The sequence below is a fragment of the Homo sapiens genome, chromosome 8 (assembly GCF_000001405.40).
Source record: "Homo sapiens chromosome 8, GRCh38.p14 Primary Assembly".
NCBI lineage: Eukaryota > Metazoa > Chordata > Mammalia > Primates > Hominidae > Homo > Homo sapiens.
Window position 1 is genome coordinate 22,142,050 of NC_000008.11, and position 22,447 is coordinate 22,164,496.

A 22,447-nucleotide genomic window follows, 5' to 3' on the forward strand; every position below is an offset into this window, starting at 1 on the left:
CACCTTCCCAATCGGAAAGATTAGCGTGTGGGAAGCTGTAACAAAAAAGCAGGGGGAGTGCGGGGGTCGGCACACAAAGAAAATCTGGACTCCAGAGTTTAAGCGACCCTTCACTGGCTTTTCCCGGTGTCTTTCCCTCTCGCCTCATTTTCCCCTCTGTGAACCGGGTAAAGGCATGAGATGCGGTTGGTGGGGTAGAGGGAAGGATCTCCTCTGCAGGCTCAGTCAGGAGCTGGAAGGAAGCTTGGCTGAGCGCCAGCAAGTCCGGGTCTCACACCAGTGGGTCCAGGAGGGAAAGGGGGGAGGTGTGGGGGGAGAGGGAACCTGAGGGACTTTTTGCCCCACCAGGTTTCAGGGGTTCCCTTCTCTCTGGGATGCCTTTCCAGATCCCTGACTCCGGGGCAGGCTGACCGCGATGATTTGAGGCATTCTGGGTAGAGCTCTCAGCTCCCACACTCCTTCAGCAGAAGTTTGAAATTCCACCTATTCCTCTGAGCCAAGTACACAAATAACCCTGGGCCCTTAATAGTAGTATCAACCATTGCCATTTTGTAATGCACGTTTGCACGCAAGGTCTTAGTCTTTGCAAACTTCTTTTAACCATGTAGGAAATAGGATGCTCAGTGGTGAAAAGTAACTTTCCTGGTATCACCCAGTGGTATTTATTGCTGGCTGGTGGCTACATGCTTGGCTTGATCAGTCTTCTGAGAGATCAGCAGCTGCAGGCTGAGTGGCCCTGCAGAGGGCCATGGAACCGGATAAGTTCCTCTGGGAGGGAGGCAGATGCCAGGAAGAAGGGGGAAGGCTCTAAAAAAGAAGGCAAACGTTGCTGCTTCTACTACTTGCCCTGTGAGGTTTCATTCTTTTTGACATCTTCAGCTTACTGCCTCTGTTGTTCCCTCTGAAAATAGTGTCCCCCCACCTTGCAGAGGGTGGGAGCAAAGCTGTCCGGGCATGTGGGGTGGAAACACAGGCAGTTACTGCTTTTTATTGGAGCCACAGTTAACCCCCACCAGCTATCATAAGGATGGAATAGGTAATCATGGGGCCAGGGAAAGGAGGCTTCTGGGGGATAAATAAACACACGGTGATTATATGGTCTTAATTACTGTCATCAGTTTTATTGGTATTGCTGGGTGTGAGAGCCAGCAGTGAAACCAGCCCACAGGAGAAACTTCCCCGAGGCCCCATGTCTCCCTCTCCTCTCTTAACCAACCCTCACATTTACCTGTCCCCCCTTACACACACACATTGGAGTAACCAAAAAGGCCAAGGGCTAGAGGAACTCCTAAGGAAGGCCCCAGCCACTGTCCATCTTTAGGCACAGACATGGTTCTCTAGGTGAAAAGTGTCCTGGGTCTCCCTGAAGGAGGAAAGCTGTGACTGAATAGGGGAGCAGCTGAAAGGGACATCCATGACTCAGGAGGTCACTGCACACGTGAGCCTCGGGTCCTTTGGTGCGTGCTGCAGAACTGTCCCTTCCCTGCTGGCTGCCTTCTGGGGCCACGCACCTGACCTCAGCATCACAGGCCTCTGTCTACCCCCATTTGCTGGGAAACATTACCTGGGCCCGCCCAAAGCTCATTCAGCTGGGATGGTCTCCCGTATGGAGACTCCTGGTCCCAATGCCTGTGCTTGGGAAATCTCAGAGAAGAGATGTCAGAGGTCTGCGCTGACAGCAAGGCTCAGCACGGAGGGCAAGAGGCTGGCAGCTGAGGAGTGTCACCATCCCTGGTCTTGGCAGAGTGAGTAGACCTTGCCTCTTGCAGCCTTTGGTCCTGAGCTGTTGACACAGTCACCCAATTCCACTGGGTTGCTAAGCAGCACTCTGGACGTGGACAAGCCCCAGGGCAAGTGACCCAGCAGGCACACACAGAAAGCCAGGCACTCGGGCCAAGGGAGGAAAGTGCCTCCCACCCCTCAGAAGAGCTCCCCCCTGGGGGCAGCAGCTGTCAAAGTGATATTTATCTTTCTACTGGGCAGCAGAGTGCCAGCGTGTCTGGGAGACTCAACCCACTTTCCCTGGCAACCTCTCCCAAGCACAGGATAAGGGCCCGTTTCCCATTTGGAAAAGAAGGACAGGCCTCCCCAGAATGATGGAGGTGCCTGCTAAGCTAAGAGCATATTTGAGGAGGTGAAAAGCAGGTAAGTCACCTATTGCTGGGGGTGAGGAGGCCAGGTCAGAGGCTGCAGGTAAGATATGGGGCACAGGGGCTCCAAGACTGAGGATGGGTGAGGAACCATCACCCACAGACAGTTCTCTCCAAAGATCCACCTCCTCCTCTTGCACAAAACACCCCTCTCTGAGCCACTTCTGTTTTCATATATTCCCATAGACCAAGGCAAATCATAATCATGTGCTGGACACACTATACAAATGGACTTACATATACTAATGCATTTCACTCTCATGAGAAATAATCCTGTCAGGGTAGGATGCGGTGGCTCATGCCTGTAGTAATCCCAACACTTTGGGAGGCCGAGGACGGCAGATCATTGAGGTCAGGAGTTCGAGACCAGTCTGGTGAACATGGTGAAACCCATCTCTACTAAAAATATGAAAATTAGTCAGGGGTGGGGGCGTGCTCCTGTAGTCCCAGCTACTTGGAAGGCTGAGGCAGGAGAATTAATTGAACCTAGGAGGCTGAGGTTGCAGTGACTCAAGATCGCACTACTGCACTCCAGCCTAAGCTGGAAAAAACAAACAACAAACCCTGTCAGGTAGGTATCACGATTATACTCATTTTATAAATAAGAAAAACCGAGGCACAAATAGGCTAAGTAACGTGGCTGAATGTTACTAGCTGGTTTCACCCGGCTGGCAGAATCAGGAACCCATGAAGTGGGGTTTTTAAATCTGCTTCACAGAAGGAGAAATTGAAGCTCAGGGAAATCAGCTGACTTGCTTGAAATCTCACACCATGGAAAGGGACTGAGCCAGAATTCACACCCATGTTATCCAGGCTCCAGACCCCACTCCTCTGTGCACAGCTGCTCACAGGTGCTCGCTGAAGAGAGAGAAACGAAGGGTTTTTGTGATATGCGAGAGCTGAGAGGGGCTCTGGAGGACAAATGAAAACCTGGAGACTCAGAGAAGGGATTTGACCTGCCCAGGGTCACACAGCAAGCACCACTGCCCAAGGATCTATCATTTCCCCCGTTTCCATCCCCTGTCCCTTACACTGTCACCAACCCACACAAGGCCACAAAAGGATTTCATTTACTCAAGCCCATGGGGGAAGAGGAGAAAAGGGGTCCCCACAGCTTGACAACACCTGTTTTGCCATTCAGTGTGCTGTCCCCGAGACCCCATTACTTGCACTGACACCCTGAGCACTGTCCCCCACCCGGCCCCCATCTGACTGTCTTAGACTCTCTCGACTCCACTCACAGAGATGTTGAGGGACCCTGACTGCCCACAGGGCTTGGGTGTGTACGGTGGGACCAGGTCACAGGAACCTTCATGGTGGGCAGAGGCTCATGGGTTTGTTGAGCAGGAAGCCAAGGCAGGTTCCTGAGCAGGGGAGGACAGGAGGAAAGTGTGTGTTAGAAAGATCAGACCGATGGCTGAGCGTGGTGGCTCACGTCTGTAATCCCAGCACTTTGGGAGGCCGAGACAGGCGGATCACCTGAGGTTGGGACTTTGAGACTAGCCTGGCCAACATGGTGAAACCCCGTCTCTCCTAAAAATACAAAAATTAACCAGGCGTGGTGGTGGGCACCTGTAGTCCCAGCTACTCAAGAGGCTGAGGCAGGATAATCACTTGAACCTGGGAGGCGGAGATTGTAGTGAGCCAAGACAGGGCCACCTCACTCCAGCCTGGGCTACAAGAGAGAAACTCCATCTTTAAAAAAAAAAAAAAAAAAAGCCAGGCTCAGTGGCTCACGCCTATAATCCCAGCACTTTGGAAGGCTGAGGCCAGCAGATCACCTGAGGTCGGGAGTTCAAGATCAGCCTGACCAACATGGAGAAACCCCGTCTCTATTAAAAATACAAAATTAGCCAGGTGTGGTGGTGCATGACTGTAATCCCAGCTACTCAGGAGGCTGAGGCAGGAGAATTGCTTGAACCTGGGAGGCAGAGGTTGTGGTGAGCCGAGATCGCGCCATTGCACTCCAGCCTGGACAACAAGAGCGAAACTCCATCTCCAAAAAAAAAAAAAAAAATCAGACTGAGAAGCGGGTTGGTGGGGGCTGGCAAGGGACCCAAGACAATGGGCGATGAAGAGTGTTTGGACAAAGCTTTGAGCTGGGAAAGAGCAAAACAAAAAAGTGCCCATCTAGCAAACCTTTGGGACAAAGAATGGAGAGAACTTGGTGGCTTATGAAATATGGGAGAAGAGAGATCCAGATGTCACCTAGGACTCCAAGGCCTCATCTGGGTGGATGTGGCGGCAATGACAGACATTTCCCCAGTGGAGGAACGGGGATCGGGGTAAAAGAAGAGGGACTGCTGAGATCATCCTCAGCCTTGCTGGTTGGAGTTGACCTGACGGCAGGAAAGACTCAAGTCTTCGCGCGTCCCTGGACTATAATCTCCAGGAAGGAACACTAGCTGTGAGTCAGCCCCAGGTGCTGGAGACTCATCACACCAGCACCTGAGTGTCATCCCTGTGAACTCCTGCCCCCAGCCCCAGCTGACCTTGGGGATGCCCACATCTCAGAAAGAAGGGAGCTGGGAGGAAGAAGGTCTGGAAACCATTGCCAGGCCTCCCGTGGGCGGCAGGGCAGGGCCAGGCTCCGTTTTCAATGAAACATTTTGATGACACCTGAGAGCCGGTTATGGGGCGGGAACTTTTTATTTGAAGCAAGTTAATCATAGCATTGCCCCCCAGTACCCTGGTATCCTGCTACAAGGAGCATCACACCATTTGGGCACATGGTGTGCCCTCTCCACTAGCCTGGCATCTCAGCAGACAGCAGAGGGCAGCAGAAGCTCAGCTAGTGGGGCCCCTCCCACCAGGCCCCACCCGGTCCACTGAAAGGCAGTGCTCCTGGGGGCCTCTGTGGACTGGTGGGGCCAGGGCTGCAACACGCCCTCAGGCCAAGCTCCACTCTGGGCACCCTCGCAGGTAACTCAGGTGCTTGCAGCTCGGCCAGCTCTCTAATCCACCCAAGGAGCCCGCCCAGCTCAAGGGCCACATCCCAAAGACAGGGTGAACCAGGGGACAGTCCAAGCCTGAGAAAGCGACAGCTACAGGAAGGAAGGCAGAAAGGCTTTCAGATGAGGGGAGGTCTTCTGTCCATGGGTGAGCTGGGATTCACGGCCATGAAGGAAACGCCAAGGAGAACAGAGACAGACACCCCTGGCAGCTCCCCGGGATTGCTTCTGCTGCTGTTGTTATTGCTTCGGGCAGAGGGGCTTTGCCCCCAGGAGGCCAAGCAGGCCCTCAGAAGCTGGCACCACCATTCTCATCCTTATCAGTTCCGGGGGGGGCACGCTGGGGGTGAGCAGAGGGGGCCCCCTCCAAGCAGAGAGGCAAGGTAACAGGAGAGCCTGGTAGGCAGTGCTGAATCTGCTTGTATGCACACGTGCCCTGACATGTTTATAGATGGACACCGGGTGCAGTCGGGGCGTGTGAGTGTGTAATGAGTGTGTCCGTCCGCGTCCATGTGAGCATGCAGACGGGGTGGGGCAGGGGTGAGTGGCCCCGGGGAAGCATGACAGATATGGCTGTGGGCTACAGCGGGGAGCAAGAGCAGGTAAACAATGCCTGGAGCACCAACAGGAAAGACCAGAGGGGCAGAAGGAGAAGCACAAGGACAGGAGGATGCGGCCCCCCTCGCTCCCAGCACCCCGCACCACTCGTGCATGAGACAGGGGGCAGAGCATGGGAAAGGCTGCAGAGTAGGGGGGGCCTGCAGTTGGGGTCACGGGAACTGGGCGTTAGGTGTCCCAGGGGTGCCTGGTGTTCATGCTGATTGCAGTGATGATGCACGTCCTCCTGGGCCAGTCCACGGGGTGCGCCTGTACACACTGGGCGTGTGCGGATACAAGGGCATGAATGCAGGTTGGTCGCTTGTCTTCACACAGGCATACGTGGTGCTCACAGAGGCCCCCACCCATCCTCCAGTGGCCACCCTGAGGAGACCAGAGGCCTCGGCACCCCCTAGGCACTGAGATCCACCACAATGTGTCTATACACCAGCGTCTGTCCCTTGAAGCTGGGGGCCAGGAGTAGCTGGGCGTCCCCAGCAGGCATGTAGCAGAAGGCCCGAGGAGCCTGCACAGCCAGCTCCTGGAACCGTACAAACTTCTGTCGTCCCTCATCCCACTGGTAGATCTGGGTGAAGGAGAAATCACTGCCCAGTGCCAGGTAGCGGCGGCCACCCACAAGGAAGGGCTGCAGGGCCAGCGAGCCCCGGGAGGGCAGGGCCTGCACCTCCGAGAAGCGGGTACCCTCCCAGCGCAGGATCTTGGAGTCGCCAATGTAGCGGCTGAGGCACAGGTAGCTGTCGCGGCCGGCACGAAAGTGTTTCACAGCTTGGGCATCAGGCACCTGGGTCACCTCACCCTGGGCCACAAACTGCTTCTGGGTGCGACTCCACTGATAGATGACGGGTGCCTGGGAGCTGCTGGACACAATCAGCCGTGGCTTGCCCTCGCCGTCCACAAACTCCAGGTCGGTGTCACGGTGCCAGGGGTGCAGTGCCTGGTGGGAGTAGAAGCCATTCTGGTGCCAGCGGTAGAGGCTGGTGGCGCCTGCCTTGGAGCTGTCAGCCACGGCAAAGTACCAGTCACCGTCGATGCGGAAGGCTTCTAGGTCGTTAGGCTTGCGCACGCGCTGCGGGTCAATGTCTTGCAGCCTGGTGAAGCGCGTGGTGTTGGGATCCCAGTGGTAAATGTAAGAGCCGCCAAACAGCTGGGCCACGACCACGTACAGCTGGCTGTCCACCACCATCGGCTTGCAGTGCACTGCAGAGGGGGCTGTGCCAGGACAGAGGCAGACAGCATCAGGCAGGCCGGCGGCTCCCACTCCATCCAACCCCCTTGGAGAAGGCCAGTCCCTTCCAAACTTGGGCCAGGACTAAGACTCTGCGCTATACCATTCCACCCACACTGAAGTTCATCCACTAAGCGCTCAATGCTTTCCAGTTGTTTCACAGCTAATAACCAGTTTTAATATCACCCTTGTTCCACCCATAACCCTAGGGTTCAAATATAAGCTGACATAGCACAAAATAAGTGTCCCTCGATAGTGACTCGTTGCTTAACCATAATGTCAGTAATTGAATTTTTATTGCGTGCAGTCACTGTGCTGAATGTAAGCACATGTTACATCGATGAGGAATTCATCACGCTGGAAAGGACCCTGTGATTTTGTCCATTTCACACAGAAAGAAACTGAGGCTCAGAGAGAGCAAGTGACTTGCCCAAAGCTACCCCACTGGCAGTGGCAAGGCAGGGAAGGGAGGGAGAATTTGAGTGGATCCACAGCGGGGAGAGAAATCTTAGGTATACCCAAGACACCTTGCTGTTTGCATCACAGTGCATGAAAACACATCCTCCCAAGAGTTCTCACTTTTGAAAGGGCTTTTATATACAAGAATGCATGCCCATGTGCACCTATACTCACAATCAGCTTCATTGGAGCCCTTCTCGGGCACCAAGCACATGAAACCATACACTGCTCACCTGTCCCAGGGTCTTCAGCTGCTGCCCGGCATCTCCACTTTGACATCCCCAGTTCACCCCTCTTTCCTTCTCACTATGACCCCACCTTTCCCCCAAGAGAAATTTATGCAGAGCCTCAGGCTCTGGCAGTCACTGCCTAAATACCTTCTTTGGGGTTTGGTCTGCCCTGCCCAGATGCTAATGACCCCCATGCCACACCCCAGCTCCTGATCTTCCCTCAGACTCTCCTGGCCCACACACCCACACAAGCACCTAAAACTCAGTCAGGACTCACAACTCACAATTCAGCTCCATACCCATCGCTGAGCCTGCCCTGCTCCTCCTCTGTTCTTGATTTCAGCTGTGGCTCCACTAGTCTCCCAATCCAGAAACCTGGCAGTCATCCCTAACACCTTTGTCTCCTCCACTCACCCTTCCCTGATCAGTCCCCAAGTCCCAACAACCTTCCCTTCTACTTTCTAATAGTGTGTATGTAGATTGGTGTTAGTTCCTCCTTAAATGTTTGATAGCATTCACCAGGGAAACACTCTGGGCCAGGAGGTTTTTTTAGGAGAAGGTGTTTTGTTTTTGTTTTTGTTTTTTTCTTTAATACTGACTTCAAGTTCCTTAATGGAGACAGGGCAATGTAAGTTTTCTATTTCATCTTGTGTCAGTTTAAGCCTTCTATTTTTTTTTTTTTTTTTTTTTTTTTGAGATGGAGTCTCGCTCTGTCACCCAGGCTGGACCGCAGTGGTGTGATCTTGGCTCGCTGCAAGCTCTGCCTCCCAGGTTCATGACATTCTCCTGCCTCAACCTCCCGAGTAGCTGGGACTACAGGCACCTGCCACCACGCCCAGCTAATTTTTTGTATTTTTAGTAGAGACAGGGTTTCACCGTGTTAGCCAGGATGGTCTCAATCTCCTGACCTCGTGATCCACCCGCCTCGGCCTCCCAAAGTGCTGGGATTACAGGCGTGAGCCACCGCACCTGGCGGTTTAACCCTCCTTTCTAAATATCTCCCTCCATCCCCACTGCTACTGTCTCGTGTCCAGGCTCCAGCACCCCTCTAGCAGACAGGCACATATCCCCCTACTGTTCTGCCCTCATGTATGGCCCCACACCTAGCCTTTTTCCATGCAAGAAGCTTTCTAAAATGCAGACTGGATCACACATTCTGCTTAAACCCTGTCAATGACCTGGTACTCATCAATATCTCGTTGCCACTCCCCACCTTGAACCTTATCCCTTTTCATACAAGCTGCTTATGATTTGCACACATATACACACTCACATACTAAGTTACTGCACACCTCCTTGACTTCGTTCATGCTGTTCCCTCTGCCAAAACACTCTTTCCACTTTTTTGCTCCTAGCTAAGTCTCCTTCAGCTTTCAAGACTCAGATCAAACTCAGTAGATCCAAAACTGCTCAACAGTCACTCCTGTCTCCTCCTCATTTCCCGGTCCATCTAATTACGTAAGCCAGAAACCTGGGGATCACCTCTGAGTTCTCCCTTTCCTCTATTCTTCAAGACTCAGCTTGGGTATCCCCCCTCCACCAGGAAGCCTTCCCTGATTGCCCAGGGTAGGCTTGTCCTTTGTGCTGCTAGAGCATCATGTTCATATCTCCCTCTTAACACCTGCCTATCATATGGATGTTATCGGTGTATACATTGGCCTCTTCCCAAAGACTGGAAAGTTCTTGTGGGCAGAGGGTATGTCTCATCTATCCCTCTACCTACAGGAACTCAATGGGGTTGAACGATGGAGCCCACTCCCCCCTCCCCCTAGCAAGGGCCAGCAGAACCAGATTGGGCGCAGGTACCTGGGATTCTATCATAGTCTCGAAGCTGCCGCTCAACATAGTCCCACTTCAGGATGGTGCAGGCACTGACTCCTGGCTGGGCCAGAGCCAAATAGAGGTCACTGGAGTAGAGGAAGGGCTCAGCCGACACTGCTGGGAAGGCCAGGGTCTGGTACAACACAAAATCTGCAAGATGAGAGGTGCGTTACTGAAGACCAGAGGGAGAAGGGAAGGGCTGCTTGGGTGATGGTGGTTGCTTTACTGCTGCCGCTGGGTGTTGTGGGGCAGGGTGGGGGGTTTCGTGTCTGTAAAGCTGCCTTGGGGTAGGCGTGGACTGACACCCAAGGCAGGGGCACCTCCTACCTGTGGTGATGCAATCGAACTCCCGCAGCGGCAGGTCCTGCACCTTGTGCTCCTGGAAGCGGGGCGGGCTGGCGCAGTAGATGGGTGCCACCGTGGTGTTGGTGTGTGCCAGCCACTCCACCAACCACTTCACCTTGCAGTCACAGTTGAGTGAGTTGCCCCGCAGGTCCCTGCATCATGAGGGCAGAGGAGGGGGGCACAGAGAAAGACATGCTCTCAGGGCTCTGCCTACCCAGGCCCTCCAGGTTTTCAGAAATAGAGCTGGTCAAGGCTGCTGCAAGTTGCTCACATGCATCTTTGTAAGATTAGAGAAAAGTTTCCCTCTGGCTGGATGTAGCCCCACAGACACAGGCTTGGCCAGCAGAGTATGGAATCAGTTTCAGTCCTTGCTGACTTCTTTGGCTAGGTTGGCTTTTGCAGTGTGCATCCTGCACAGCTGTATGTTGCATCCCTGCTCCTCTAAGCCTCCCACAATCCAAGGCTTTTATTTTCTTATAAATAACAATAAATGAGTGTGGCTCTGCTATATACTACTATATGCTATATATTCCTTACTCGAAACTTTCAAAATCCCCTCCCGCTGATTGGACTTTAATGTAGAGTCCAATCAAACATACATTTAAAAAGCACAGGCTGGGCATGGTGGCTCACACCTGTAATCCCAACACTTTGGGAGGCTGAGGTGGGCAGATCACAAGGTCAAGAGTTTGAGACCAGCCTGGGCAACGTGGTGAAATCCCATCTCTACTAAAAATACAAAAATTACCCAGGCATGGTGGCGCACACCTGTGGTCCCAGCACTTGGGAGGCTTAGGCAGGAGAATCGCTTGAACCCGGGAGGCAGAGGTTGCAGTGAGCGGAGATCACGCCATTGCACTCCAGCCTGGGCAACAGAGTGAGACTCCGTCTCAAAAAAAAAAAAAAAAAAAGCACATGTTGGCCGCGCACAGTGGCTCAGGCCTGTAATCTCAGCACTTTGGGAGGCAGAGGCGAGTGGATCAACTGAGGTCGGGAGTTCAAGACCAGCCTGACCAACATGGAGAAACCCCATCTCTATTAAAAATATAAAATTAGCCAGGTGTGGTGGTGCATGCCTGTAATCCCAGCTACTCAGGAGGCTGAGGCAGGAGAATTGCTTGAACCTGGGAGGCAGAGGTTGCCGCGACCTGAGATGGCACCACTGCACTTCAGCCTGGGTGACAGAGCGAGACTCTGTCTAAAAAAAAAAAAAATTTTTTAAAGTACTTTTTTTTTTTTTTTTTTAATATTTTGAGACTGAGTTTTGCTCTTGTCGCCCAGGCTGGAGTGCAATGGCATGATCTTGGCTTACTGCAACCTCTGCCTCCCAGGTTGAAGTGATTCTCCTGCCTCAACCTTCCAAGTAGCCAGGATTACAGGCGCCCGCCACCACACCCAGATAATTATTGTATTTTTAGTACAGACGGCGTTTCACCATGTTGGCCAGGCTGGTCTGGAACTCCTGACCTCAGGTGATTCGCCCTCCTTGGCCTCCCAAAGTGCTGGGATTACAGGCGTGAGCCACCACACCCAGCCTTTTTTTGGCTGAGCACGGTGGCTCAGCACATTTTTGGCTGAGCGCGGTGGCTCACACCTGTACTCCCAGCACTTTGGGAGGCTGAAGTTGGCAGATCACAAGGTTAGGAGCTCGAGACCAGTCTGGCCAACATGGTGAAACCCCGTCTATACTAAAAATACAAAAAATTAGCCGGGCGTGGTGGCGCACACCTATAGTCCCTTAGTCCCAGCTACTCCAGAGGCTGAGGAAGAATCGCTTGAACCTGAGAGGTGGAGGTTGCAGTGAGCCGAGATTGTGCCACTGTACTCCAGCCTGGGTGACAGAGTGAGACTCCGTCTATAATTAAAAAAAAAAAAAAACACACACACACATTTTGAAAACATACACACATGGTGTCTCAGGTGCACTTTGAGAGAAACTCCAATTTGGAAGGCTACCATCTATATCTAACTCCACCTCCTCACCTCCTCAGGGTCCCCCCACCCAAGCCTTCCCAGCCTCTCAAGACCTTATGACCATCCCAATTCTGACTCCCACACCACTCCCTCCAGGGATGCGCCCTCTGCGGCACTGTTGGAAGAGGCAGGACTCAGGCCTTACAAGTCATTCAGGATGTCCAGGGGCCGGAAGATGTCTCTGGGCAGTGTCTGCAGGTTATTGTTGGCCAGCGAGCTGCAAAAGAGACCGCCAGGTCATCTGAAGATCATGAGCAAGGCCAAAGGCCACAGGAGAGGTGGGGCTTTGGTGCAGTGTGTGTATGTGTGACGTACTCACAGGTGAGTCAAGGACTTGAGTCCTCGGAAGGTGAACTTGGATAGTGCCCAGATGTCATTGTTCTCAATGAAGCTGGGGAAAGCGGGAACTTGCCTCAGTGCTCACACAGGATGCCAGACCCCCAGCAGCACTCGCCCTACGCCCCAGCCTAGATTTCAGCCCGTGTCCCCGAGACAGGTTTCCAAATGGAGTCTGGCATCACCAAGCCATAGAGATAGAGCATCAGGTAGGGTAGAGGCAAAATGAATGAAACGACCTTCTGCTCAGGTCCTGCCATCACGGGATGCAAGGGCTCTCGCCTCCCATCACCTTCCCTTCCTGCGGCATTCTCATCCACTCCCTACCCAGTCCCTCGGCCTCCCAGGCCTGGGGTCCCCCTCCCTTCTGCTTTCCCATTGCCCCTTTCCCTCCCACACACAGATACTGCAGGTGCGACAGTCCTGTGAAGGCGTTGTCTCCAATCAGTGTAAACTTGTTGGAGTTGAGTAACCTGCAGAGACAAAGGTGGAATTAGAGCTTCCAAGGGTGTGCCTGCTGCCCCAGCCCCCAGCCCGCTGCCTCAGCCCTGGGCTTCCCCAAGACATGACTGCCCTGCTGCTACCCCTGGGGACCCCATGGGGAATCCCTGGGCCACCTGGGCAACAAGGCCAGGCAGGAGCCTGTTCTGGCCCCAGAAGCTCCCAGGGTCCCTGTTGGATCCTAAACATGGGCCAAGGCAGAGCTCTCTTGTCAAGCCAGCTCCTGGTCCTCCCGGGTGGCATCTCCTCTCCCTCTCCCCCACCCTCATTCTGTCCCATTCCAGCCCCTCATGGACAACTGTCCCTCATGGACGGCATCTTGTAGGGTTGGAGACACTCCTGCCATCCCTTTCTTTCAGCCCCCAGCTCTTTCTGGGAACTCTGATTCCTGGGATCACCTGTCTCTAAGATGGCCCCACAGTGCCCACCTTGGGCACTAGCCCAGGCTATCGCACCCAATTCTCTGGGGTTTCCAGAGCAGCCAAGCCCATCCCCGCATCCCACTTGCTTGGCTTCTCTGTGCCATCCCTAGCTGTCCTCCTGCTGCCCCGACTCCCCTGACTCAAGGCTGCCCCGTCTTTTGGGTACATCCTATCAGAACAAAAGCAAGGGACACCTGCATCTTCGTCTGCAGAGGCTGCCTCTGTCCACTCTCCCTCTCCCCAGCCCAGGATTTGTCCCCTGCTACCACCCCATAGTTCCCCCAACCCTTCCACAAGGCCCTATCCATACAAGAACTGCAGCAGCGGGAGGTGGGAGAACGCTCCATCCTGGATCTCTGAGAAGGCGGCATTCACCAGGGTCCTGCGGGGACACCCGAGTCAGTACTGTGGGGTCTGCAAGGGCTGTGCTGAGGCAGGGAGAGGTGAACACGGAGGGCAGTAGCTTTTGTACTCACTTGCCCTGGAAATGCCCCATTTCACCTAATTTAGCCCCCATCTGTGTGTCTTTCCCTTCTCCTCCCAAATTCACTGCCTGCCTTCACCAGGGTCCTCCCCTATTGCCTCTTGGGGCACCCATGGCCCCAGGCTCAGCTTCCCTCTCAGGCAAGAAAAGGTTCCATCACCCACACCGTTGTCATCATCATCCAAACACCCACAATGGGCTGGGTGCTGTTGAGAGATGGGGCATGGGGGTGGGGGCTGGCATCCTGGTCCCCAAGGACCTCACAACCTCTCTGGTCCCACAGACAAGGGGGAGCCCCTGAGGCTGGCTGTTGTGAGTGACAGGCTGGCCGAGCTGAGTGCCAAGTGGCTGGTCAGTGGCGGGCATGTGCCCCATGCCAGGGTGCTGGGAGGGCATAGCTCATTCTCATCCTGCTCTGGCCGCCACTCTCCTGCCCTTGGTGTGACATCACAGGCAGGGGCCCACATGCTCGTGTAAGCAACCCCCCCAAGTCTGGAGCACAGCACACAGTAGGTCTCACTGTCGCTCGTGGTGATGATGATTCATTCTTGGTGGTGAACTCCTGCTTTCCCCACCCATGGCCGCTGAGCCTGCAAAACTGCAGAACTCCCTGCCCGACTGGTGCCTGGAATCTCCAGCCCTGAGGACCCCTGCAGTCCCCCTGGTCCCCGCACTCTGAAGAGGGGGAGCGGGGGTTCTCCTGTCCTCTCCCAGAGCTGTCCTCGGCCTCCTCTCCCTCCCCAACCCCCAAGGCCAGGGCTGGACACTCACAGGGAGATGACCTCCGAGGGCAGGTTCCTGGGCACCGCCTTTGAGTCCACGCAGAAGGCGGTGTCCCTGGTGCAAGAGCAGCTGGGCGGGCAGGGGGGCGTCTTGGGGGGCCTCTTAGCGCTGACTTGCAGCATGAGGCAGAAGCCGAGCGCGGAGAGCGCCAGCAGCCCCGGCCCCGGGCCCCCCCTGGCCCGCAGCCCCGCCATGCTGCCCGCGATCTCTCCCTGGGGCCGGCGGCCGCGGCCCCCGCCCCACCGCTCCCGCGGCTGGGCCACCCCGCGCGGGCTGGCACCTCCCTGCCACCGGCAGCTGCTACCGCAGCCAGGGGCCCGCCTGCGGACTCCTCCTGCCCTCGGGCGCCGGCTGCGGTCCCCTCCCCTGCTCGCTCCCGCGATCCGGCTCGGGAGAGAAGAGCGGAGCGCGGAGCTGGAGCCGCAGCCGGGGCTGACCGCGCCGGGTGGCTGCGGACTGCGGCGCGGGCGGCGGGGGCGCGCGCGGGGCGGCGCGGGGCCTGGGAGTCACGGAAGGGGAGGCGTGGCCGCTGTGTGCTCTACCGGGCGGTCTCTGGGGCCATCCGCGTGTGGGGCTGCGCGTGAGTGCATGCGTGTGAGCTTGTGCTTGTGCCTCTGCTGGGCACGACTGTGCGCGCCGGTGCTCACCTGTCTCTGCACGGGCACATGCACTCACTGCCTTGTGGAGGCGCTTCGGCGTTAGGGATCCCTGTGCTTCTGTCTACCTGGGTTTCTTTGCATGGGGGGACACATCCCCTAGGCAGCATCATGGGCATGTCGTGAGTGACAGACGCATATCTAAGTTAGCATGCAAGATTAGAAGCACAAGGGCGTCCTGGAGGAGTCTGAAGTGCGCTTCTAACCGGATTCACATGTTTTTCCACGCGCCGCTGAACAGAATGTACCTTTGTGTCAGCATGAGCTGAAAAGGGAAACGCAGCCTCTGGAGCTGGAGTGGGACTGTGTGGAATTCTGGAACATTTCTCACGCTCAACCACAGCCTGTTAAAGCTGGGAAGCGCTTTGGATATTTTTCAGTCCAGCCCTTTGTCTAACAAATGAGGAAACTGAGGCCCCCTAAGCTTGCTATCGCAAGTGCTCTGTACTTTCCCTACTTAATCCTCTCAATCGTTTGAGGCAGGTGATAGTAATTCCCTTTTACAGACAAGAAAAGTGAGGCCTGTCGCACCAGAAGAAAAAGGTATCAGCAGGGATTTCCGCCCACTCTGCCCAGCTTCAAGGTTCACGGTCGTCCTTCCATGCACGGCTCTTCCAAGTGTAGCCCTGGGAGCCCGGGGGTCCTTGAGAACCTTTCAGGAAGTCTCTGAGGTAAAAACAATTTTCCTAATATTGTTAAGACATGATTTGCCCTTTTCACTTCTATGAAGCTCCAAATTTAAAAGATTTCCAAAACTGTAAAGAAATGACACTTTCTCTCTAATTTTATTTTGCTTTGTAAAATAATTTTGCTTTGTAAAATCGTTTTTCCATTAAAAATGTGATTTATGTCATAACCTATATTGGGTTTATTACTGATATTTTAAATTCACATGTAAATAAAAATGTAATTTCTCAGTAAATATCAACAGACATATCCCACATAAACAAAAGCTCTTGGGGGTCCTCAATACTTTTTGAGAGTGTTAAGGGGTCCTGAAAACAAAAAGCTTGAAGACTGCTGCTCTCTACCACGTTAGCTCCCCTGTGGCGGAGGATGACTGTCCTAAGAGCTCATAGGCACGGGGCAAGGGGAGCCTGGCTGTCAGCTGCCTGGGCTTCTAGTCTTGTGCTTTTTGCACACCAGTCCAGGGAACGAAGACCACTGGCTTTAAGATGCTTCCCCAGCTGTCCCCAGACTCTGCCAGCAGGGGATTCTCTGGTCTGAGCTTAAGTTGTGTTCTCCCAGCCAGGGATGCCCCTGCCCTTTGATGTCTCCTTGCTGCCACACATTTAGCCGCCCTCCCCATGCCAGCTTGGGGGGAGGGAAGCAGTGAGGGTAGGGAGGTGGCTGGGGCAGCTGGGCAACTGTCCCCACCCGTCCCTGGCACGGCTCTGCCCAGTACACAAAGAGCAAAGTGAATCTTGTCCCCACCCCTGCAGCTGAGGGGCTGGAGGAGGAAACGGGGAGGCCCACACAGAAGGGGTGGCCACCGTGGGGCTGTCCATCACTCAGGGCTCTCAGAGGGAGTCAACCCAGAAACAGACAAAGAGGGTGAGTCTGGGCTGTGTTCTTAGCTAGTGAGAGGTCCCCTAGAGGATGAAGTAGATGATGCTAATGAGGATGACTGGATGTCACACCCATGATGCTATTAGGTCCTCATAATAGCATAGTGAGGTGGACAGCTAGTACCTGACCCATCTCACAGATGAACATACTAATGCCTAACAAAGCAGAACGACTCACGCTGGGTCCCAGAGCTGGCCAGTGGAAGCACTGAGACCTCCACATACTGAAGGCATGGACTATTGACCGCTGTTGGTATTGGTCTCATCATTGACTATCATTAAGTGTTGGCTGTTTGCATGCTTCCTGCCCAGTGGCAGGTTCAAAGAAGCCCGCAGGAAGCGTGCTCCTTTCTTTCCCAGGGCCCGCAATTGGGCTGGAAGATAGAGCAACAAAAAGCGCCCATGTAACTCATGGGAACATTCATGTGTGCTGAATGGCAGGTGAAGGTGCCACAGAGAGGCTGAGGATTTCAGAGGGCACCATGAACTGGAGTGAGGTCGCAGAGCAGGTGCCATTGGCTCTTGGCCTGTTTGGGTGGGTGGCATTCAGAGAGGTGGAAGGTCAGATGCACTGTTCACGCCTGTAATCTCAGCACTTTGGAAGGCCAAGGTAGGAGGATCACACGAGGCCAGGAGATCAACGCTGCAGTGAGCTATGAAGCTGTGATTGCACCACTGCACTGCAGCTTGGGTAACAGAGTGAGACCCTGTCTCTAAATAATTAAATAAATAAAATAAAAATAAAACCGGAGAAGTGGAGAGGGATTGGAGGTGGGCTTTCACAGAGGGAGAAACGGCTTAAGTACAGGCCAAAAAGTGAGAAGGCTGCAGACAGGGCTGGTAGGGGGAGGGGGAAATTTGGCACACCCAGCTAAAGGTCCTTCTGTGTCTCCTTCTCCAAGGAACCCAAGACCTTCACTTGGTTGGTGTGAGCACTCCAGGAGGCAGGCACCCTCCCTCAGCCCTCAAGCAAGCAAAAATGGGTTTAAAAAAAGAAGGAGAAGAAGCAGCAGCAGCAGCCGCCACAGAGCTTGTGACAGCTACAGCCTAAGGGCAACAGGCAGGGGAGACCAAGGACCAGAAAGAGCAGAGGCTTTTTCAAAGAAAGAGATCCCTCTCCCAGCACCCAGCGATGGCGGCAAACCCCACCCACAGTGCCTGCTAAGAACAAGTCCCACGTGAGAACAACATGGCCCCCCGAGATGCCCACAGGGACCCCGAGATGCCTGCAGTGCTTGGCTCTCCCGCTGGCCAGCTGCCCACCTGGCTCAGGCCCAGTACTCGTGAGTCAGCCGATCAATCCCAATGTTGCCAGGATGATGGGGGCGGGAGTAAGGGCCCTGGGGGAGGGCAGGGGTGGGCACTGCAGGCGAGCTGTCTCCCACATCTGGCACCTGCACACAGCTGAGGCCGAGCTGAGAGGATGCTTCTGTGGGCTCCCCCTCCTCCCGGCACCCCTCCCCTCCTTTCACTGTCCTAGGACACTCTCTGGCTGCTGGAGTCTTAGGCAAATATTTAAAGGGGCAGCAAGGGGGTGAGGAGGGTGGTGGGAGCAAACACTTCCCTCCCTTTCTTCCTCCCTGCGCTTCTCAGGGGCTCTCAGTTCAGATGCCATGCTGTTATGCAACCTTGGGGCTGAAGGCCCTCCAGATGGAGAGGGGGACAGGGGAACCTGCCAGCTCATGACCGAAGGGCAGGGCCCAGGTGGGAGGGGGCTGGGGCAGGGGACAGGAACTGGGGTGGCATGTTAAAGGACAGGAGGCTGGTTGGGCATGGTGGCTCACACCTGTAATCCTAGCACTTTAGGAGGCCGAGATCACTTGAGCCCAGGAGTTCGAGACCAGCCTGGGCAACATGGTGAAAACTCATCTCTATAAAACAAGCAAAAATTAGCTGGGCACAATGGCATGCACTGGTAGTCCCAGCTACTTGGGATGCTGAGGTGTGAGGATCACCGGAGTCCAGGAGGTCAACGCTGCAGTGAGCAGTGATCTCGCTACTGCATGCCAGCCTGGGTGATAAAGTGAGACCCTGTCTCACAACAAAACAAAACAAAACAAAACAAAAGGATAGGAGGTTAAGGGAGCGAGCCCAGGCCTGGACTCTGCCACAGTCACCTGAGTTTAGAGGTGAAGGGACTTTAGAGACCACCTGGCCCAAGGAGTGAAAGGGAACCTGAGAGAAAGGGTGAGCCAGCCCAAAGTCATTGGCAGATTTGACCTCGTAAATACATAGAGATGGCTTTGGGAAGGCACTAGGAAAGACAGAGAAAAGAGAAGGAGACAGTCCTCAAAGCTGATCGTATTTGGGTGAGTATTATTCTCAGGGCAAATTTAGGATCAGAGGATGCAGAAAGGGGAGTCTAGAGGGGTAGAGTGTAGACCACAGGGTGAGTGAGCTGATTCGAGGATGGGGAGACTGGGAGCCCACCAGTGACCAGAGCCAGCCCTGTTCAGGGCTGTCCGGGCAGAAGAAAGCAGTGTCAGACCTGGAATCTGCCATCAGCACAGCCTGCAATTGACAGACAAGCCCAGAGCAAAGAAGGAAGCACTGCACATGAGTAAGAGCTTGCCACCAGTGGGGACAGAGTTTCCAGAATTAGGAAAATAATCACTGGGGGCAAGTTTGAGGTTGGTACCAGATATGTGGGAGGAGGCAAGGTAAGGGAAAGAGTACTTGAAGTTGGAACTGGTCCTTGCAGGGAAATGCACATTTATGAAACCCCGAAAACTGATGTCAAAGCACCTCCTGCCTTGGGCAGAGTCCTCTCAGAGTCTACAGGTGCTGCCTCCAGAACCCTCTTCCTGGAGCGCATCCCTATGTATCTAGAAATTCTGCTGGGAAATATGATGGTCAGACCCTTGGCCACCTGAAAGGTTCAGGGTGGTAGAAGAAAAAGGAAAGCCACAGGGCAGCAGGGGCAGGTGCCAGCAAGGAAGGCAGGCACGCCAGGAAGACACCCATGGTGAGAAGTGCAGATGGCCCGAGGGCAAGTTTGCTCAACTCACCCAGGTTTGCTCTTGCTGGGGCCAAGAGGACTCATGTGCCAGGGCCAAGGGCCCTTGGGGGCTCTCACAGGGGGCTTATCTGGGCTTCGGTTCTGGAGGGCCAGGAACAAACAGGCTTCAAAGCCAAGGGCTTGGCTGGCACACAGGGGGCTTGGTCCTTCACCTCTGTCCCCTCTCCCTACGGACACATATAAGACCCTGGTCACACCTGGGAGAGGAGGAGAGGAGAGCATAGCACCTGCAGCAAGATGGATGTGGGCAGCAAAGAGGTCCTGATGGAGAGCCCGCCGGTGAGTGTGGTTGCGTGTGTGTATGTATGTGTGCGCGCGCACATGTGTGTGATGGGCCCTGCCTCCTCTATCCTCCCTGGCCTGTTTCCTTATCCAGATCCATTCACTCAACTAACCTAGGACTGTGATAAGTCAGGATGGGGACACCAAGACCACTAAGCCAGGGACCCTTGGGGAGCTGTTTGTGGGCCAAGAGCCACTATAGGGGTCCGTAGAAAGGGCTGTCCGTAGACAGCCCTGAGTCAGAAGCCATGAGAAACTTCAGAAGTCAGGGGACACTTCTCAGAGAAAAACCACATACGAGCTGGAGCCAGAATAAGGAGGAGCTCGCCCGGTGGAGAAGGAGGAAGGCATTCCAGGAAGGAGGGAGACTCTGTATCACCGCATGGAGGTGATCACTTGGGGAGAGAGAGGGGCTGACCATGGCTGGGGGAAGCAGCAGGGAGAGACAGGTGAAGCAGGCTCTCTTGGGTCCCTCAAAACTAGACCCTGCTTCTAAGCTTCTATGTGTCTATGGGTTTGTTAGAATCCAGGCCACCTCCTCCAAGAAGCCTTCTCTGATCTCCTCAGCCCTTCCCTGTCCATCCATCGCATCGGCTGTCCAGCCCTAGGCAGCCGTGGGAGGGTGTTCAGCTTGTATAGGGAGAAGAGGGGACAGCCTCATGACCTCATGCCTGTCTCCTTGCCTGCCCCACCGTGTCAGGACTACTCCGCAGCTCCCCGGGGCCGATTTGGCATTCCCTGCTGCCCAGTGCACCTGAAACGCCTTCTTATCGTGGTGGTGGTGGTGGTCCTCATCGTCGTGGTGATTGTGGGAGCCCTGCTCATGGGTCTCCACATGAGCCAGAAACACACGGAGATGGTGAGAGGTGTGGGATGCACAGCAGTGGGCACAGGACATGCCAGACAGCGGGGCTAGGTGGGATGGGCGATAGGAAACTGTCCAAGGGGAGTGGAGGGGAGGAGGCAAGGGGCACAGCTAGAAGGAAAGAGGCACGAACCAGGCAGCAACCCAGCTCAGGCTTTTCCACAAGGCCCCTGCCCCGCAGCAGGACAGCCAGCTCCCTCCAGCACCTGGTTCCACTCAGCCTCCCTGAACTCTTGGGAAAGAGGGAAGCGCATTTGAGTACAGAGGCCTGAGTATGGGGATGGGTACCACTGGCTGAGTAGGAAAGGGGAAGACCAGGTGGCTCCATGCCCTTTCCCCAGGTTCTGGAGATGAGCATTGGGGCGCCGGAAGCCCAGCAACGCCTGGCCCTGAGTGAGCACCTGGTTACCACTGCCACCTTCTCCATCGGCTCCACTGGCCTCGTGGTGTATGACTACCAGCAGGTGGGTATGCCCAGACCTCCTGACCCTGGGACCAATGACAAGGCTCTGCTAGAGCCACCCAGCTGGGCCACTTCATCCACATCCATCTCTCCCTCTCCTCCAGACCTTTTTTGCCTGAGCCCCAGATTCTAGTATGACTCCCGTGCCCAACCTAGAGGGAGGTGGCTAAGGACCTGGGTCAGGGAGAGAGCAGGGCAGGGACCCCCGAATGATCTCCAGCATTCTGTGCCTAGCTGCTGATCGCCTACAAGCCAGCCCCTGGCACCTGCTGCTACATCATGAAGATAGCTCCAGAGAGCATCCCCAGTCTTGAGGCTCTCACTAGAAAAGTCCACAACTTCCAGGTGTGTGTGTGTGGGTGAAAAGAGTGGGCTGTCTCCCTCCCAGGGCTGCTGGGAGGAGTGTCCGAATGGTGGCTATTTGTCACCTGTAAAGCACTGTTCCTCATTGGCTGCCAGCTGACTGCCCCTCTCCTATTCCCCTGCACGACTCCTTTCCTTCCCACCCCACTGCCAAGCTGCTGGGCTCAGCTGAGTCCACTCACTACCTGGTGGCTTCTGACTCTAGCACAGCCCCTCTTTACTGATGAGAAAACTGAGGCTCAGAGAGATTGCCTGATATACCTGAAGTCCCACAATAAGGGCTGCACATGGGATAGAAACTCACTTCCTACATTCCAGATGGAATGCTCTCTGCAGGCCAAGCCCGCAGTGCCTACGTCTAAGCTGGGCCAGGCAGAGGGGCGAGATGCAGGCTCAGCACCCTCCGGAGGGGACCCGGCCTTCCTGGGCATGGCCGTGAGCACCCTGTGTGGCGAGGTGCCGCTCTACTACATCTAGGACGCCTCCGGTGAGCAGGTGTGATCCCAGGGCCCCTGATCAGCAGCGGAGGAGCGCTCGGGCCACCTGCCCGGGCTGTGGAGGAGCGCTCGCGCTGACCAGGCGCTGGGGCGTCCACTGAAGCGGGGTCATCCAGGCAACTCGGGGGAGGGGAAGCTCACAGACCGGTACTTCCCACTCCCCTGATTCTCTCTGTCCATCCTCAACATTCCTTTGCTTCACAGGGTCAGTGGAAGCCCCAACGGGAAAGGAAACGCCCCGGGCAAAGGGTCTTTTGCAGCTTTTGCAGACGGGCAAGAAGCTGCTTCTGCCCACACCGCAGGGACAAGCCCTGGAGAAATGGGAGCTTGGGGAGAGGATGGGAGTGGGCAGAGGTGGCGCCCAGGGGCCCGGGAACTCCTGCCACAACAGAATAAAGCAGCCTGATTGAAAAGCAAAGGGTCTGCTTCTGTCTT

General features: G+C 55.1%; 2 protein-coding genes across 16 annotated transcripts, besides 2 other annotated features; one reads left to right on the forward strand and one right to left on the reverse strand.

Moving 5' to 3' along the window:
• Positions 4,781-14,757, reverse strand: LGI3 (leucine rich repeat LGI family member 3). Its single transcript, NM_139278.4, has 8 exons — positions 14,288-14,757; positions 13,343-13,414; positions 12,511-12,582; positions 12,093-12,164; positions 11,919-11,990; positions 9,782-9,951; positions 9,440-9,604; positions 4,781-6,928 (listed from the first exon to the last, which is right to left on the reverse strand). The coding sequence occupies exons 1-8, from the start codon at positions 14,491-14,493 to the stop codon at positions 6,111-6,113; spliced, it is 1,647 nt and encodes a 548-aa protein (NP_644807.1). The 5' UTR covers positions 14,494-14,757; the 3' UTR covers positions 4,781-6,110.
• Positions 14,790-14,934: an enhancer, noted in NCBI's record as "145 bp 8:22014424 sequence used in MPRA reporter constructs". NCBI's record gives its function as "activates a minimal TATA-containing promoter with rs117928119 allelic activity by MPRAs in C283T melanocytes {active_cell/tissue: C283T}" and the evidence as "EXISTENCE:reporter gene assay evidence [ECO:0000049][PMID:36423637]".
• Position 14,862: a transcriptional cis regulatory region, noted in NCBI's record as "rs117928119 or 8:22014424 MPRA-significant variant associated with a GWAS melanoma risk locus at 8p21.3". NCBI's record gives its function as "allelic transcriptional activity by MPRAs in C283T melanocytes {active_cell/tissue: C283T}" and the evidence as "EXISTENCE:reporter gene assay evidence [ECO:0000049][PMID:36423637]".
• Positions 15,334-22,430, forward strand: SFTPC (surfactant protein C). 15 transcript variants are annotated; one of them, NM_001385655.1, is made up of 8 exons: positions 15,334-15,626; positions 17,426-17,806; positions 19,727-19,821; positions 20,525-20,683; positions 21,031-21,153; positions 21,387-21,497; positions 21,834-22,010; positions 22,217-22,430. In NM_001385655.1, the coding sequence occupies exons 3-7, from the start codon at positions 19,780-19,782 to the stop codon at positions 21,990-21,992; spliced, it is 594 nt and encodes a 197-aa protein (NP_001372584.1). In that variant the 5' UTR covers positions 15,334-15,626; positions 17,426-17,806; positions 19,727-19,779; the 3' UTR covers positions 21,993-22,010; positions 22,217-22,430. The 15 variants fall into 15 exon arrangements, with proteins under 15 accessions (NP_001372584.1, NP_001372583.1, NP_001372587.1 ...); NM_001385654.1 differs by having other exon boundaries at positions 21,834-22,002; NM_001385658.1 differs by having other exon boundaries at positions 21,852-22,010.